This window comes from Homo sapiens, chromosome 8 (assembly GCF_000001405.40).
Source record: "Homo sapiens chromosome 8, GRCh38.p14 Primary Assembly".
Classification (NCBI taxonomy): Eukaryota; Metazoa; Chordata; class Mammalia; order Primates; family Hominidae; genus Homo; species Homo sapiens.
Window position 1 is genome coordinate 123027177 of NC_000008.11, and position 18038 is coordinate 123045214.

The following is an 18038-nucleotide window of genomic DNA, read 5'->3' on the forward strand; positions in this document are numbered from 1 at the left end:
CCAGCTACTCAGGAGGCTGAGGCATGAGAATTGCTTGAACTCGAGATGCAGAGGTTGCAAAGAGCCAAGACAGTGCCACTGCACTCCAGCCTGGGCGACAGAGTGAGACCCTGTCTCAAAAAAAAAAAAAAAAAAAAAAAAAATTTAGTGGTCTCCTAAGGGTGTGGGGGAGGAAGGGATTGAATGAAAAGGGAGAATGGCTGCTAATGGTAGGGTTTCTTTTGGGGGTGGTGAAATATTATAAAAATGGGTGTGATAATGACTGTACAACTCTGTCAATATACTAAAAACCAATGAATTGTGTATACTTTAAATGGGTACGTTGTACCGTACATGAATTACATCTCAATAAAGCTGTTAAAAAATGCCTCTCAGCTCAAGCCTTTCAAAATGCTCTGTAGTTGTTGAGTAGGGAATGAGGAGGCAACTTATAAAAATCAAAGCAAATAAAAGAGACCAGTGACCTAATAATCCCACAAATTTGTCCTAAATTGGTATTCAGAGAGAATAACATTACAATTTGTTGTATTACCTGACCAGGTAATAGGGTTGGGTAAAGGGATTCAAAGCACAAGAAGGCAATTAAAAATAAAAGTGGCCATTGGCCAGGTGCAGTGGCTCACGCCTGTAATCCCAGCACTTTGGGAGGCTGAGGCAGGTGGATTACCTAAGGTCAGGAGTTTGAGACCAGCCTGGCCAACATGGCGAAATGCCATCTCTACCAAAAACACAAAAATTAGCCAGATGTGGTGGCATGCACCTGTAATCCCAGCTACTCGGGAGCCTGAGGCACAAGAATCACTTGAACCCAGGAGGCAGAGGTTGCAGTGAGCTGAGATCACGCTACTGCACTCCCCCGACTGGGTGACAGAGTGAAACTGTATCTCAAAAAAAAAAAAAAAAAAAAGTGGCCATGGAATTATTGCAATTTAGGTTTAATAATAGCATTAGAATTATGTTTTAAGTCCTTATAGTTCAGAGTTAAATTCTGAAATATTTACAAATGAAATGCCTGGCATTTTGCTTCAAATAATCAGGGGTGGAGGACAGCAATAGATATAAATAAAACAAGATTGGCTATGAGATAACTATTAGAGGTGATAACCATTAGATGGTTAAGGAGGGGTTCGTACTGACACACACTATGACAGGAATGAACCTTAAAAACATTGTGCAAAGTGAAAGAAGCCAGTCACCAAAGGACATATGAAATGTCCTGAATAGGTAAATCCATATACACGGAAAGTAGATTAGTGGTTGCCAAAGGCTGGGAGGAGGGAAAGTGGGAGGTAAAGAGTGACTGCTTTGGCTTTTTTAGGGAATGATGAAACTGTTCTGGAATTAGATTGTGGTGATGGCTGCATAACATTGTGAATATACTAAAGACCACTGAATTGTACACCTTAAAATGGTTAAAATGATGAATTTTATGTTATGTGAATTTGGTCTCAGTAAAAAGAAAAAAGGTTCATTGACTTTTCCCTCCACTTTTGCATATGTTTGAAAATTTTCCAGAATAAAATTTTAAATAACTGATCATAAATGATCCACACTTAATCTATTTTACTATTGATATAACGTTTACTATCAATATAAAATAATTACTCCAGCTGGGCACAGTGGCTCACGCCTGTAATCCCAGCACTTTGGGAGGTCAAGGTGGGCAAATCTCTTGAGCCCAGGAGTTCAAGACCAGGCTGGGCAACATGGTGAAACCCCATCTCTACAAAAAATACAAAAGTCAGCCAGGTGTGGCGGTTTAACACCCATCCTTGTAGCTACTAGGGAGGCTAAGGTGGGAAGATCACTTGAACCCCGGCAGTCAAGGCTGCAGGGAGCCATGACTGTGCCACTATACTCCAGTCTGGGTGACAGAGCAAGACCCTGTCTCAAAAAAAAAAAAAATTACTCTAACAAATTAATGCTCAATTAAGTTATACCAGAAAGGCAGACTGCTAAGCACTCAGTATCATTATGGGTCCAACTGGAACAAAGGAGAATAAAAATCACATATTCTGGTAGATTTAAAGATCAAACCCCTAATATGGTGGTGAGAGGCCTAGTTGTCAGTTTCATTTCTGCCAAGTTACTTTACTTCCTTGAATCTCCTATTCATCTTTTGGTAAAACTCAGGAAATAAACTAGGTTCCTCCCAATAGTAATATAATAGTCTATGACCTTACACTTTGTATTAATACAATTTCTTTCTTTTTAAAAAGAACCTAAAAGCAAATGCCAATTTAAGGAAAAATGTTACTTGACATCAAATACCCATCCTACTATTTCCCTGCAGTGATGAGACTGATTCGCAATTCTCAACCATATGAGCACTGACTTACATACACTTAAGGGTAGTTCAGAGTTCTCTATCCTGAGGTAACAGCCAGCAAGTTTATAAAGTCTCTGAAGTCAGTCAGCCTTTTCAAAGTCATTTAAATTTAACAAAATTATATCCATATTGTAACACAGTGTATTGATGTATTGTTTCTTTAGTATAAGTGACTCAGACAGCATATAAGGTATTGTAGGAAATAAATGACAATTCAGTAAGACACTTTTACGAAAAGATTTTTCGAACTTATCCATAATATTACATAGGTTGGCTGGGCACGTTGACTCACACCTGTAATCCCAGCACTTTGGGAGGCTGAGGCAGACAGATCACTTGAGGTCAGGAGTTTGAGACCAGCCTGGCCAACAGGGTAAAACCCCATCTCTACTAAAAATATAAAAATTAGCCGGGTATGGTGGCAGGTGTCTGTAATCTCAGCTACTCAGGAGGCTGAGGCATGAGAATTGCTTGAACCCGAGAGGCAGAGGCTACAGTGAACTGAGATGGCACCACTGCACTCCAGCCTGGGCAACGGAGCAAGATTGTCTCAAAAAATAAATAAATAAATAAAATAAAATATTACATTGGTACTCATACCTGATAAACTACCATATATTATTAAATCTTGGCTATATACTGTATTTTAGAGTTGAGTTTTTCAATTAGAGAATAAATCTAGGCTTTTAATTACATAAATTGATGTTTTTCAACCCCAATCTAGGAGACATATATACTCCAGCCCAATTCTGCACTGAAGGACAAGGACTGCTGCAAAAGAAATGAGTGAGACCCTCAAAATAAATGAAAGGCACACAGCTCAGCCACTAAGGAGATGGACAAGCCATGTCAACCTCTGATCTGCTACTTTTTGCATCTATAAAATGGTAACACTGCTACTTATACCTCAGGATGTTGTGAGGATTAAAAATTGAGTAAGCTAAGTGCCTGGTGCAGTCCTGGCACAGTCACTAAGCATTTACTATCTTTATGCAGTTTCTTTTTGTAATGCTAACTGCCCTCCAAATTCCTCCAAAGTAAACACATGGATTAGTAAATGAGAAAGAAACAATGCTTAAAACAACTATGGGTAACATACCTGTTTCAAGTCGCGTAGAATACTGATATAAGAAATATAAATTGACCAAATAAAGAAATCCAGTTCCTGGACCCACAGGGAAATAAAAGGTGGCAGTGATTGGCCTCCAAATCTGTCCAGATCAAAATAAACACAGCTGTTAGTTTCTGTAAGCCTGGTTATTTCTTTCCCTTCTAACTAAACAAAATTAACAAAGCATCCTCCTCAATGAGAGGTGTGAAAGTGATCCTACCAACACAACTCAAGAAAACAACTGAAGAAAAGTGTTCACACCAAATACAATCACATCACTTTGCAAATCAATGGAATAAAACGACATCATAAAATAAGCAACAAATATTTCTAAACAAGTTGAAACAAAATCAATACTATATGAGTATATGGTTAGTCTTTGCTGAGATCAGGCATACAATTAAGCCTACATCAAAAAATGAATTACAAAGGCTTAATTTCCAACAGTACAGTAATGCCTCTATTTAGGGAAAGAATATTCTGGAATGACAAACCTTGTCCAAAAATGCCACATTCAAAGGCAGAAGTAAAACAACAATTTTTTATTCAAACCAATGCACTAAATAGGCAATAGGGGCACTTTTTCTTTAAAAACATTTCCCTGAAAAAACAAACAAAACATAAGAAGGGTCTAAAGTAACAAGCAGGCCAGGTTCGGTGGCTCATGCCTGTAATCCCAGCACTTTAGGAAGCTGAGGCAGGCAGATCACCTGAGGTCAAAAGTTCAAGACCAGCCAGGCCAACATGGTGAAACCCTGTCTCCAATAAAATTACAAAAATTAGCCAGGTGAGGTGGCGGGGGCCTGTAATCTCAGCTACTCGGGAGGCTGAGGCAGGAGAATCGCTTGAACCCAGGAGGCGGAGGTTGCAGTAAGCCAAGATCGCGCCACTACACTCCAGCCTGGGTGACGAGCGAAACTCCGTCTCAAAAAATTAAATTTAATTTAATTAAAATAAATTAAATAATAAAGTAACAAGTAAGCCTCATTCCCAACCTCCAGTCTCCCAGTTCCCCAACAACAGCTGATCAGTGTCTTGTATTTCCTCTAAGAAATACATGTTACTATTACTCATTCTTCTTTATCCTACTCTATACGGCACTGTTTTATACCTTGGTTCATTCCCTACAAAATATTTTAATTGGCTTCATAGTATTCCTTGTATGTGAATGTCTAAACTTTTGTTTAAACTGTTACAATGCCACAATGAATATTCTTGTATATCCTCTTTATATGTGCATATACAGAATAAGTTCCTGTCAATAAATCTGCTAGAGCAACAGACATAACCATTTATTTTGGTAGATACTGCCAAATGCCTACAAAAATGTTTGCTCAATTTATACTTCCTCCTAAAAAGTAGATGAATCCTGTCTTCTCTCCATACTCTCACCATTTCATGTATTATATATTCACCAATCTGAAAACTAATTTTTATTTGCATTATGAGAAGTCAAGCACCTTTTCACGTTTTAAAAACCTGAGCATTTCCTTTATTCATTTGTTTTTCTGGATTTACATTTTTTTTTTCCCCCCCGAGATAGGATCTTGCTCTGATGCCCAGGCTGGAGTGCAGTGGCATGATCCTAGCTCACTACAACCTCCACCTCCTGGACTCAGGTGATTCTCCCACCTCAGCCTCCCAAGTAGCTGGGACTACCAGCATGCACCACCACACCTGGCTAATTTTTATATTTTTTGTAGATACAGGGTCTCCTGATGTTGCCCAGGCTGGTCTCAAATTCCTGAGCTCAAGCAATCCACCTGTCCTGGCCTCCCAAAGTGCTGGGATTACAGGCATGAGCCATCGCACCTGGCTGCATTTCCTCATACATTATGAAATTTCTCTTTCTCATCATTGCAAGCATTTTCTGATGTCATTAGACTTTCATGGTGTTTTTGCCATATTTTGACATACAAAAGTTTAATTAAATGTAGGCATATGTATCCATGATGTGTCATGTTTAGAAAGTCTTTTCGCTCCAAGAATGTAAGTGTTCATGGTTTTATTTTAGCACTTTCAAGGTGCATCCAAGGAATGAGGAAGAGATCCAACTGTTTTTCTAAATAGTCACCCAGTTTTCCCAACCCCATTTACAGAGTAACCCACATTTTTTCCAATTATTTGAAAAACTACTTTCATTGAACGTTTATACTCTAGTCTCTTTTACATGTAGGTCTATTTTAACACCATTCTGTTTGGAATTGGTTCCTATGCCAATATCAAGTTATTTTAATTTCTATTTTCTTTTTTTTTTTTTTTTTTGAGACAAGGTCTCAGTCTGTTGCTCAGGCTGGAGCGCAGTGTTTTGACCACAGCTCACTGTAACCTCAAATTTCTGGGTTCAAGCAATTCTCCACTCAGCCTCCCAAGTGGCTAGGACTACAGGCATGTACCATCACACCTGGTAATTTTGTTTGTTTGTTTTTTGAGACGGGCTCTTCCTATGTTGTCCAGACTGCTCTCAAACTACCAGCCTCAAATGATGCTCCCACCTCAGCCTCCCAAAGTGCTGAAATTATAGGCATGAGCCACTGGGCCTAGCCTAGTTTCTATTCCTTTTATAACATATTTTAATAGCTGGTAAAGTTAAACAGCTAAATAATATCTCCCCCTTTTTTTCTTCAACAATTGTCACAATTTTCTTGGTTAGTCTCAATATTTTATTTTTCTAAATGAATTAGAACCATTCTTTTATTATATCCATGTGATATTGATATAATTCCCAGCCAAGAAGTTTTTCATAGCTTTTAGAGTTGTCTATAGAGCTATCTCTTTCTACCTTTTTATACTTAACCACAAAAGCTGAGTATCTTACTGCCTACAATATTGAAAATTGAGCTTCGGCCGGGAGTAGTGGCTCATGCCTGTAATCCCAGCACTTTGGGAGGCCGAGGTGGGCAGATCACCTGAGGTCGGGAGTTCGAGACCAGGCTGACCAAGGTGGAGAAACCTTGTCTCTACTAAAAACACAAAATTAGCCGGGCGTGGTGGCACATGCCTGTAATCCCAGCTACTCGGGAGGCTGAGGCAGGAGAATCGCTTGAATCCAGGAGGCAGAGGTTGCAGTGAGCCGAGATCACAACACTGCACTCCAGCCTGGGCAACAAGAGCGAAACTATGTCTTAACAAAAAAGAAAATTGAGCTTCTTGGGCTTTCCAAGCATACAACCCTAGCTGTAAATAAACTTTTGTATCTTATTTCATTCTTGTCTAATTCACTGGCTGGCACCCCCACCAGAACAATGCTAAATAGTGATTGAAGCAGATGGCCTTCCTAAACTTTTGGAAATGGCAGCAAAATGCTGGCTTTTGGTGTGAGAGATATGTGTCTATCTCATTGCACACTAGCATGTACCAAGCACAAAAGACATGGCCCCTGAATTCCTCAGAGTAGTGGGGAAGGCTGTCAAAGGAAGAAAGGGTTGGCACAAGGGAGGGGACATGTGGACTTGTTACAAAGGCCCCAAGAATTGCAAGAGCACAATAACTGAATGGGTACTGCTAACAATTCAAGTGTGGCTGGAATGGAGGACGTCAGTCACGGGGACTGGCCACATACAGACTGGCCAGTTCCATTCTCCAAGTACAGGAATGTAACCCTCAGAGCTTAATTCCTTGTAGAGGGAAATGCAATGTGCATACCAAAAAAGTGACTTTCCAAGAAACGTGTATTAAACCAGAAAAATAAAATAGTTTAACATTTGGTTTGATTCATTCACAACTTTATCACAGAAACAGGATAGTTTAGTGGAAAGGGAACTGGAGATGACTTGAGAAGACCTGGGTTTAAGTTTTTGCTTATAAGTCACCACTTCCGAGCCTCAATTTCCATAGTTAATTTTTTTAAAGAAATCAATAAATTAATGTGCTACTCAGCTTATTTACACGCACTGATTCAGGAGACGGATTTCATAGATGAGGAAACAGGATGAGAAAAGGTTAAGTATCAGCCAGTAAGTGGTGAAGCTAGAATTTTATCCCAGACAGTCTGACTCCAGAGTTTGTGATACTAAGCCCCTATTTTTACAATCCCTCTCACAAATGGCGTCAGTATTATGAGGTACAATTACAATTAGTGTAAGTGTTCACTACTACAGACACTTGTGTAATCCTGAAATAGACTCAGAGTAAACCTACTAATTAATTCTCTGTGCTTAAGAAAAGGACTGGGAGTAAAGACCAGAAGCAAACCCTCTAGGTAGCCCTGGACCCTTGGAAAAGTATGGACGTCAAATTGGCTTCATCATCTACCCAATGACATTATCCTATGACTTCTGCCTTCCTTATCTTACAGGATTTGTAAAAGGTTGGAATTAAGAAAGTGAATTAAAAAGATACTATGCAAAAAGAATTAATATGTGTGGGTGTGTTAATTGTATTATCACAATCTTTTCGGAAACACCCGCTAACCAGTTTTTATAAATTCATATTTCAACTACCCCCATATTCCTATAAGTTACTCAAGGCCTGGTTTTGGAAAAGAAACCTTGTTTTTGTCTGACTACATTTTCTCTAATGCTGATGACATAAGACTATTTTTAGTCACTGTTTGCACCTGTTCTTTGGAAATCAGTGTCTGTCAAAATATCTCACTTCTTTTCCCTGTTCATTAAGCCTACCCTTGAGTTATACTTGCTTTCATTGATCTAAAAGACTTAATATTATTTTTGTGTTACTTTAAAATTATAATCTGAAAACACCAGAAGACAGCTTATCTCTTTAGAAGGACACAGTGTAACATATTTCGGAAATCCCCATTGTAAGTATCCAACTAAATCCCATTTTTTCCTCGACCTGATATGTAAACAGTAAGGAGAAGGAACTGGCTTTACGTTCAGTGCCAGGAGTGAAGAGGCCCATTTTCAACCCTGGAAAGCCTAAGAGGCAGCCAACTGCAGCACAAAGAGCCACGACTTGCAGACAGAGGACTGCCTGCCTCACACTTACTGAGAGGACTCGTGGGGGAGTATCTCATTTTAAGTCCACAGCAACCTCAAGGCCAGGCCCATAATGATCCCAGTTTTTTCAGGAGGAAAGCTGGGCCCTAATTAGAGTTCCTCACTTAACAAGGACATGTAGCCCATGTGCTCACTGCTATATACACCCTTAAAGAAGACATAAGACATTGTTCCTCAGTTATTAGTCCAACAACTTCAGAGTGTAGGTTGCAGCCATCCTTTAGCTAAAATCTTCTAAACAATCTGCTACTGAAATAATTTGCCATCCAGAATCTAGTGTTTTTTTTTTTAAAGTATGAAAAGTGAGGATTTGTCTGAAATAATAAGGATCACTTGATTCGGACTTAAGTATATATCAGTCACCAAGCAAGAAAGATGATGAGCACCTGTGTGACAAATGCTAGTTTAGTAAACTGTGGCCTTTTTTGCTGGGTGGGGAGACACAACGGGTAGGCAAGAAAAGGCCCCTTCCATTCATTTAAACAAATGAAAGGCACTTAATCTTTAAAAAGAGCAATTAGAAGCCATCAAATCTACTCCTAGATATATAGGCAACAGAAATTACTATTTCTCCTCACCAAGAAGTACATATGTTCACCAAGACATGTATTAGAATGTTCATAGCAGCACCATTCATAATAGCCAAACTGGAAACTGCCCAAAAGGTCCATTAATAGCTGAATGAGTAAATAAATTGTGGTATGGTCCCATAATGAGCAACCTATAACCACATGCAACAATATGGGTGACTCTCATAATGTTGATAAAAGCAGGTAGACACAAAAGAGAACATACTTCATAATTCCACCTATAAAAAGCATAAAAACTGGCAACAACAATACATGGTATTAAAAATCAAGAGCATAGTCACCCTTAGAGAGGACAGTGACCAGAAGGAAGCAGGAGAAAGCTTTTAGAGATTCTGTTTCTTGATCTGAATGCTGGCTGTATACATGTTTTGAATTTTTAAAAACTCAAGCTATAAACTTATTATACATACACTTTCCTGCTTGTATATTGTAACTCAATAAAAAGTTTTTTAAAAAGCCACAATCTAATGGGCAACATTATTACAGAACACAGCAGAACTGTTCAACATGGACAGGACTACTAAGGAAAGATCTTAAATTACGTACCAGAACACTTGCCACTAGAGTTCTATAGCCAAACCTTGATGGATATAGAACTTCTATGCTCAGCCTATAGTCCAAGTTCATTCTCCTCCCTGCTATGTTGAAACGTCTCTCTTCCCCAATACACCCTTAAATCAGTCTCCTAAGGTTGCTGTCATCAGGTTAAATGTGATATATAAGCAAAAGCTTGGCAAATATAAGCACAAGGCTGAGTCACAGAATTGGTTGGTACCATTTCTTATTCCTGGAAATAAATTAGAGAAATCAAGAGTTCACATCTTCCCATTTCAAGTCAGGATGCTTTTAAGAAGACAAAGCAGAATAATCATCCAGCAGTTACATTTCAATTGCAATTACTAATTAAAATTAGAATCTTACTGTCCAGGAGAGAAGGAAATAAGGCATAAAGTATTGGCTGATAAATAAAAATTGGCAACTATTTTTTTTCCCATACCAACCACGTAGGAGGCAACTATTTTTGAATAGCTTATTTATCAGGCTACTTATTGGGTATTACAAACATTTTTCTATGTGTTCTACATACTAGAGGCAAGAAGTAGATAACATATTTCCTCAATTTGAAGGTACTCGTTCCTGTGTTTCTGAAATTAGAGTGTCTTACAATCAATACACTCGTTGAATGTAATTTCTACTCCCCTGTCCCCCAAAAAAGTTGCATTAAATTGATGGTGCATCGTATAATCAATGGAGTCTTAGAACAAAGTTAATATGCTATGATATTATCCTCAGATCCTAAAGAAATTGAGGCTCAGACAGGATAAATAACTTGCCTAAGGGTACACAACTAGCAGGGGACTGAGCCAGGCCTTGAGACCATGATTCAACTACTTGAAATCTAACAGCCTTTCTACTCGAATAGAAAAGGAAAAACAATTTGCTATGATTGATTTGGAAGAAATCACCTTCAAAAATGTTTTGCTACATACTTATTTTTTTCGTAGATATTATGCAAAGGAGTTAAACAAAACAGCTTAGAACTATCCTTGACTCAACGAAATAGAAACTGAAACTGAAGCTGTCTACAAAATGGGGGTAACACTTATCTCAGGATGACTGTCAGAGTTCAGTGACATGACCTCAGGGAAGTTGTAACAGGGTGATGTTATTTTGTCCAAAGAAATGAAGAAATATAGCCATGCAGGCGGCCCTGGGAGACATAACCTTAGAAAACACAAAGGCAGCAGGAATTGCCACCTCTTGTGTAGTTAATCAACGATTAATATGAAGACATTTCATTATTGTGAACTATTTGATTGATGAACATAAATCTGAGGGACTCAGAATAGGGAGAAATCGTAGACAACAGTATAATGAGTCTTAACACACACCTGTTTCAACCTATCCAAACTAAAGAAATAACATTATAAACCTCAGCGTTCTAAACCAACAAGCTACACACAAGAATCTAGAGCTGAGGAGGAAAAATAACTTGTCACTTCCAACATGAGCACACAATTCTAAATCAATCACTCCCCCATTTTTGTAAGTTGTGAAAGATTCAGCTTCTAAGGAAAAAAGGAACTTTCTAGCAGAACTCTGCTAAAGCACACCGCACACTGTCCGTGCACAGCAGCCTCTCAAATGCAGTTTTTCCTTGACTGCTTCATTTGCAAATGAGTTCCTCCAGGTGGGTCTGAAAGTTACATGTGTCCAAAATAGGCAAGAATCAGAGTAACAGGAAGAAAAGACAAGGTACAGCTGTTGGTCTTTTCACACCTGGGCAGTACACTGTCCTGCCTCCTGCTGGCAGCTGAGAAGAAATAATACAGGGAAGATGACAAAATTGTGGAAGATGTGACAAGAACGATTACTCTTTTTAATCAGTTCACCACTTTTAACCTTATACACCCGCAGCCTGTTAGGCTTATTTACATTGCTTCTTTACAATGTGCTTATTTACATCGTGTAGTCACTAGTGTCACTACACAAGTGAGGATTTTGCTAACAGGGACAACAAGCCGGTTTTGACCAGGTCCTTCTCACACATTAATATGCCACCATTGCTCCCCATGACCACACATTACCCAACAAGCCACCAGGGACAAAGTACACAACATTCTCTCAGCCAACAAATATTTAGTAAAGTAATAAACACAGAACAGTATGCAATTCCAGCTGCACTCCAGAGTCATGTTTTTATATCCAACTGCTCCCTTGGCCTCGCCACATGGATGCCTGAAAAGCATCTCAAGACTTAGCACAGCCAAAACCTAACTCTTCATCCATACCAGCCCCCACTCCCAACCCAGGTATCCCTGACCATTCCCCATCTCAGTCAAGGGCTCCGCCATCCACTCAGCTGCTCCTGTGAAAACAGTAGTATCTTTCAGTCCTGCTCGCTTCACCCATTCACTCTTTATATCCATTCGGCTGTAATCTCGTCCCCTCTGCCAAGTCTATGCCCTTTTCTCTATCTTCACAGCCACACTGATCCAAACCACCATCTCTCTGGCCTCCTAACTGGATTCATCTCTCTGATCTCATCACCTAGCCCTTCCTCCTTCAACCCCCTCCATACACACACAAAGTCCACTCCACAGAATAGTCGGGGCAATCTGTCAGTCCTTTGTTCACAAGGCTCCAAAGACTTCATAGTGCCCTCAAAATAAAGTTCAAACCTCTTAACATGACCTACAAGGCTCAACTATGATCTAGCTTTAACCCACCTTTCCATCTTAGCTTTACTACACCCAGCCCTGGCTATCTCCCTGCTGTCATCTACTAATCCTCACCCTACAGCTGACCCTGTGCCAGCTGGCAACCCAGTCTTCTTCCTGTTCCCAGCTCCTACTTCTGAGCCTTTCACTTACTAGTCCTTCCTGGAAGGTTGTCTCCAGAGCCAGATCTACCCAAAGCTGGCTGGCTGGCTCCTCAGTATTCCAATTTCTTCAAATGTCTTCTCTGAGGCCTTTCTGGGTGGAACACCCTATCAAATATTACACCCCTTAAAACACGTGCCTCTATGTCTTCACAGGCTCTGAAACCTTTTCAGTCCTATTTACTATTGTACCCCAGTGCCCAGCACACAGCAAGTGCCCAATTACTTCCAACAACTCAGTTAATATATAAGCACCTACTACGTCCCAGGCACTATTCCAGGTAACAAGGACAGTGGTGAACGGCTCTCATGGAGCCTTATTCTCTGAGGGGAAGCAGACTAATAAATACCAAAGGGTAATATGTAGCAAGAAAAATGAAGGATAAGGCCAGGCTCAGTGGCTCACGCCTCTAATCCCAGCACTTTGGGAGGCTGAGGCGGGTGGATCACCTGAGGTCAGGAGTTCAAGACCAGTCTGGCCAACATGGCGAAACCCCGTCTCTACTAAAATACAAAAATTAGCTGGGCATGGTGGTGTGCACCTGTAATTCCAGCTACTTGGGAGGCTGAGACAGGAGAACTGCTTGAACCCAGGAGACAGAGGTTGCAGTGAACCAAGATTGCGCCATATACACTCCAGCCTGGGCAACAGAGCGAGACTCCGTCTCCAAAAAAAAGAAAGAAAGAAAGAAAAATGAAGGATAAGGGATAAGGGAGTGGAGTGAAGGACGGGCTATTTTATGTACGGCCATCAGAGAAGGCCTTGTCAACAAGACGGCATTTGGGCAGAGATCTGAAGAAGGTTAGGAGGTAAACAACTGAGCCACGGTTATCTTCCTCAGGCAGAGAAACAACATGTGCAAAGGCCCTGAGGAGAGATCCAGATAAGCACTGAAGTAACAGCAAGGATCTCATTGTGGAGCCTAAGGTACAAGTTGGAGAGTAGTAGGAGATGAGGTCAGAGAAGCAGCAGGGGCCTTGCAGGCCACTGAAAGGACTTGGATTTTACTCATTAAGAAGACATGGTAGGATTCTGGACAGAGGAAAGACAGGACTTGATGTAGGTTTTAAAAGGATCACTCTAGCTGTCTAGAGAAAAGATGGAAAGGAACCAGATTGCAGTGATAATGGCTTGCAATGGAGAATGAAAAGGGATTGTATTCTGGATATATGTCTCAAGTAGAGTCAATAGGATTTGCTGACAGATTGTGGGGTGTGAGAAAAACAAGAAAAATAAAAGATGACTCCGACAATTAACTTCAGCTCCTCTAATAACGGAGTTGCTATTCACTTCTAAGGCAAAGGGGGAAAGGGGATTCAGTTTTGGACACGTTAAGATGAAGATGACTCTTAGTCATCCAAGTCGTGATTTCAAGTAACTGCTGGATGCACAAATCTGGAAATAGGGAGACAGATCTGGACTGAAGATATTTATATTTATATTTCAGAATCTCCAGTTTATAGAAAGTATGTAAAGCCCTGAGGCTGAATGAATGAGACCACCTAAAGCTAGGGAGAGTCTATAGAAAAGGTCCTATAACTGATTCCCAAGGCACATCCTAACATTTAAAAGTCAGGAAGATAAGGAACCAGCAAAGGAAACCAAGAAGTAACACCCAGTGAAGACAGGGAAAGACAAGAAAATGTTATCCATAGGCCAAGTAAAGGGCTGAAATTAATGCCAGATCTTGCTATCTGACCTGCCACTGATTGAAGTTTTAAATCAGAAATTGGTGAATACAGATAACCTTCAGAAAACTGGCACTCTCTTGACAGAAATGTTACTCTGGACTGTTTCCTTCATGCTTAAGAAAATAACAAGGCCTTCCATTTCTGGACAAATGTACTCTTTGCCCATTCCTTCGTACATTCTATTACTACGTGGGGGACACTAAATTAGGTCTAGAGGGAAATGCAGAACAATACACTCGTTCTTTGTATCTCTGACTTTAAATCACTCCTATAGGAAAACCAAAACAAAAAAACTCCATAAACGTGAAAGGAACTCAGCTATAAGTTGGTGAAGTTGACACCTACAGGCCACCCACGTGGGTGACAGAGGGAGGTCAGAGGGCAATGCTCCAGGCGGACCTAATCGCCAGCGTCCAACAGATTGACAACTACCAACGACTAATCTCACTGCTTCCTTCACTGAGTGCGAAGAGCGGGAAGCACAATCTCACTATACCAGTGAAGTCAACCCCTCCCCACCAGGCCAGCCCACAACTCCAGCTATCCAGCACCCCGCTCCAGATCCCAGAGCCTCCCCGGGCCCAAAGGACCCCGCCCTAAACCGCCGGCGCCGGACCCACTACAAATCCCAGCAGGCACCGCGCGCCCGCAACATGCCAGCCTACGCTTAGCCGCCGCTGGGCCTCCTGGGGCCTGTAGTCTCCACGCCCCCCGTCTCCGGTAAGTACCTGAAAGCGATAAAGGAAGGCTTCGGGCCAGAGGAAGAGGTAGGCCGGGCTGATGAGGCCGAGTTTGCCGACCAAGGGCACGGCGACGGTGGCGGCGAACCAATAGCGCGTGATCGCCGGGATGCTCCTGAACCAGTCTCCGATGTCCGACATCTTCGACCCACAGGTAGCCAAGATGCACAAGACCGCCCGACTCCCCGTGCCGACCCCCTCACGACGCGGCCGGCTCCGCGACTGTTAGGTGTCTAGGTGGAAGCCGCCGAAGCCGCGATGCAGAAGGCGGAGACGGGCGGACGTGGCGCCACCGAATTCGGACCAGCGAGGCAGCCTTCTGAGGCGAAACTTCCCCTTCCGGCGACCGCGGACGACGTGACCAGAAGTCCCGCCGCTTAAAGGGTAAGCGCCGATTTTACCGCCCGGCCGAGGCTCGGCGTCCTGGGGGGCGGAGCCAGGTAGAGCGACTACACGACTGGTGGGAAAACAGTGGTTGCCTGGATCAACGGCAAACGCTCCGGCCAGTGGCGAGGCCAAATGCCATTCACCTAGTTCTCAGAGTTTTAATGCGGCTGGGTCCACCTGGAGGGTATTTAAAGGGGACGAAGGCAAACGAAGTGTCTAGTTCCTCGTCTGCTTACTCATTCCACAAGTGTTTGTTGGGCACAGTTCTAGACACTGGGCAGCTGCGGCTGTCAGCGCTGTCGTGGTACCCTCTCTCCTGATCTTAACATCCTCATTGGGATAATTTATAAACAAATAGATAATGAAGTAAGATAATCTCAGAGAGTGATTAGAAAAATAGGAAAATGAAATGAGATGATGAGGTGGAGTGACGGGGTGGGGGTGCGGCAGTGTGAGGACAGATGGCTACCTTAGGTATGAACTGGGCCAGCCAGGCAAGAGATCTGGGGGAAGAATTTTCCATGCACAGAGAAAAGCCGCTCTAACTAGGTTGGAATGTTGGAGGAACTAAAAGCCAAAATGATCCATCTTGTCTAATTCAACTTGTATAAGAAGGAATCTTTAAGAAAAGATACTGGCCAGGCGCGGTGGCTCACGCCTGTAATCCCAGCACTTTGGGAGGCCGAGGCGGGCGGATCACGAGGTCAGGAGTTCGAGACCAGCCTGGCCAACATGATGAAACCCCGTCTCTACTAAAAATACAAAAATTAGCCGGGCATGGTGGAGGGCGCCTGTAGTCCCAGCTACTTGGGAGGCTGAGGCAGGAGAATCGCTTGAACCCGGGAGGTGGAGGTTACAGCGAGCCGAGATTGCACCATTGCACTCCAGCCTGGGGGACAAGAGCCAGACTCCATCTCAAAAAAAAGAAAAAAAGAAAAGATACTGAGTAGAGTTTCCCGTTGTTTTGGGATTTGGGGCCAGCAGTTTAAGATTGCTAAAGTCTTCCAATAAAGAGCACCAGGAACAAACCTGTAGTCAACAAAGTTAGATTTATTAACTTGCTGCAGCAAGGGAGACTGCACTCCAGAGGAACCTCAATGCCTCTCATCAAACGGAAGTGTCATTATTGGGTTATGGGAATGGGGGGATTTTTTGGTAAGAATTAACTGGAGCAGTGTTTGATAGACTCGAAGCAAAGCAGAGCTGTGTGCAGCATCAGGTTAACATCAGACCTGAGTAGGAAGCAGGCTCTTTCCTTGGAAATCTCAAAATTACGACAAATGTGAAACGTTGGGTCTGAAAACTCTATCTAAAGCTTTGTACCTGTATTGAAAATCCTGTGTCAAAGTGACCTGTATGGCTCAGATGCTCTGGACAAGAATGGGATGTTCCATTCACACGGAAAGGATGTCAGACAGCAGAGTTTCCAACATTCCATAATTTTAGAGAATATTTGTCAGCACCATATCCTTGATGTTAATTAATAAAAACAGTTTTTTCATAACAAAAAGGCATTAAATATTCCACAGTGTAATGAGAGTATACAACATTTGGGAACCAATGGATAGCAAATCTACGAAGAACACAGCTGGTGGGAATATAAATTGATACAGCCTTACAAAAAGATAATTTTGATATAAAAGCTAGATATTTATATAAATAACAGATAATACTTGACGATATTGCCTGAGGTTTATTCTGTTTATTTCCCTCTACTACCACCACCATTGTTTTGTACCCACTACTCATAACCAAGGTACAGTGAAAGAAAACAGGGGTTATCTGGCTTAGGTGGAGGGCTAAGGAAAGTTTCTCTGATAAACTTAAAAGTACACGTGCATGAGAAAAGACAAGAACAAGAAAAATGTACACCCAATATCTGGCAGTGTTTATTTCTTTTTTTTTTTTTTTTTTGAGACGGAGTCTTGCTCTGTCGCCCAGGCTGGAGTGCAGTGGCGGGATCTCGGCTCACTGCAAGCTCCGCCTCCCGGGTTCAAGCGATTCTGCTGCCACAGCCTCCCGAGTAGCTGAGACTACAGGCGTCCGCCAGCACGCCCGGCTAATTTTTTGTATTTTTAGTAGAGACGGGGTTTCACCGTGTTAGCCAAGATGGTCTCAATCTCCTGACCTCATGATCTGCCCGCCTCGGCCTCACAAAGTGCTGGGATTACAGGCGTGAGCCACCGCGCCCGGCCTGGCAGTGTTTATTTCTAAGTTGTGCTCTAGAATTCATAGTGAATGCTCTGGAATTCAACTTCGGCCTTTAGAAACACTGAAGTTTAAATCAGAGCAACGGTAGGCCAGGTATGTCTGGTCTTTTCTTGTAACTTTACATTCAAAGGCTTTCTGGCTGGTCCGATGGTAGTGATTTATCAGAACTTATTAACATTAGTGTCACTAAAGTTGGTATACAACCCCCCACTGCTAAATTTGACTGGCTTTTAAAAATATTTATTATTTTTAAATAATATTGAATATTTATTAAATTTATTATTAATTTATTAATAATATTATTTAAATAATTATTTTTTAAAGGCTTTCTCTTTCTACAAAGTCTTAATAATCATTTTAATGACTAATATTCTACTAGTGATGTGGCAGAATCTTTTGACCATTTTCCTATTTCTGATACCTGTTTTTAAATACTATATATAGTTCTATAATGAATACCTTTATGCATATACATTTTATACTAATAGCTAACTTTTTTATTTACTAATATCTAACATTTGCTGAGTGTCTACAGTTTGATTGGCACTCAGCTATGCCCTTTATGGGCATGGTTTTAATTAGTCTTTACAACAATGCTTCAACCCTATGAAGTACTTTTATTTCCATTTACAAAT

At 41.4% G+C, this 18038-nt stretch overlaps 1 protein-coding gene, 1 long non-coding RNA gene and 1 pseudogene across 4 annotated transcripts in view, besides 2 other annotated features; 2 read left to right on the forward strand and 1 right to left on the reverse strand.

Annotated features, from left to right (window-relative positions):
• The window catches only part of LOC124902013 (uncharacterized), a 28197-nt gene extending 24617 nt beyond the window's left edge, over positions 1-3580 (forward strand). The window contains exon 2 of the long non-coding RNA XR_007061083.1: positions 3054-3580. This is a non-coding gene — a long non-coding RNA (uncharacterized LOC124902013). The remainder of the gene's footprint in view (positions 1-3053) is intronic.
• DERL1 (derlin 1) overlaps positions 1-15126 on the reverse strand; it is a 29133-nt gene extending 14007 nt beyond the window's left edge. For 2 of the 3 annotated variants that reach the window (NM_001134671.3, NM_024295.6), the window contains exons 1-2: positions 14794-15126; positions 3429-3540 (exon numbers count right to left, since the gene is read on the reverse strand). In NM_001134671.3, coding sequence (NP_001128143.1) covers positions 3429-3540; positions 14794-14946 — 265 coding nt within the window. In that variant the 5' untranslated portion in view covers positions 14947-15126. The remainder of the gene's footprint in view (positions 1-3428; positions 3541-14793) is intronic. The other variant, NM_001330601.2, reaches the window with a different exon arrangement.
• Positions 10487-10616: an enhancer, noted in NCBI's record as "active region_27865". NCBI's record gives its function as "activates an Ori minimal core promoter by ATAC-STARR-seq in GM12878 lymphoblastoid cells {active_cell/tissue: GM12878}" and the evidence as "EXISTENCE:reporter gene assay evidence [ECO:0000049][PMID:35858748]".
• Positions 14536-15075: an enhancer, noted in NCBI's record as "active region_27866". NCBI's record gives its function as "activates an Ori minimal core promoter by ATAC-STARR-seq in GM12878 lymphoblastoid cells {active_cell/tissue: GM12878}" and the evidence as "EXISTENCE:reporter gene assay evidence [ECO:0000049][PMID:35858748]".
• On the forward strand, positions 17541-17635 carry RNY4P5 (RNY4 pseudogene 5; annotated as a pseudogene).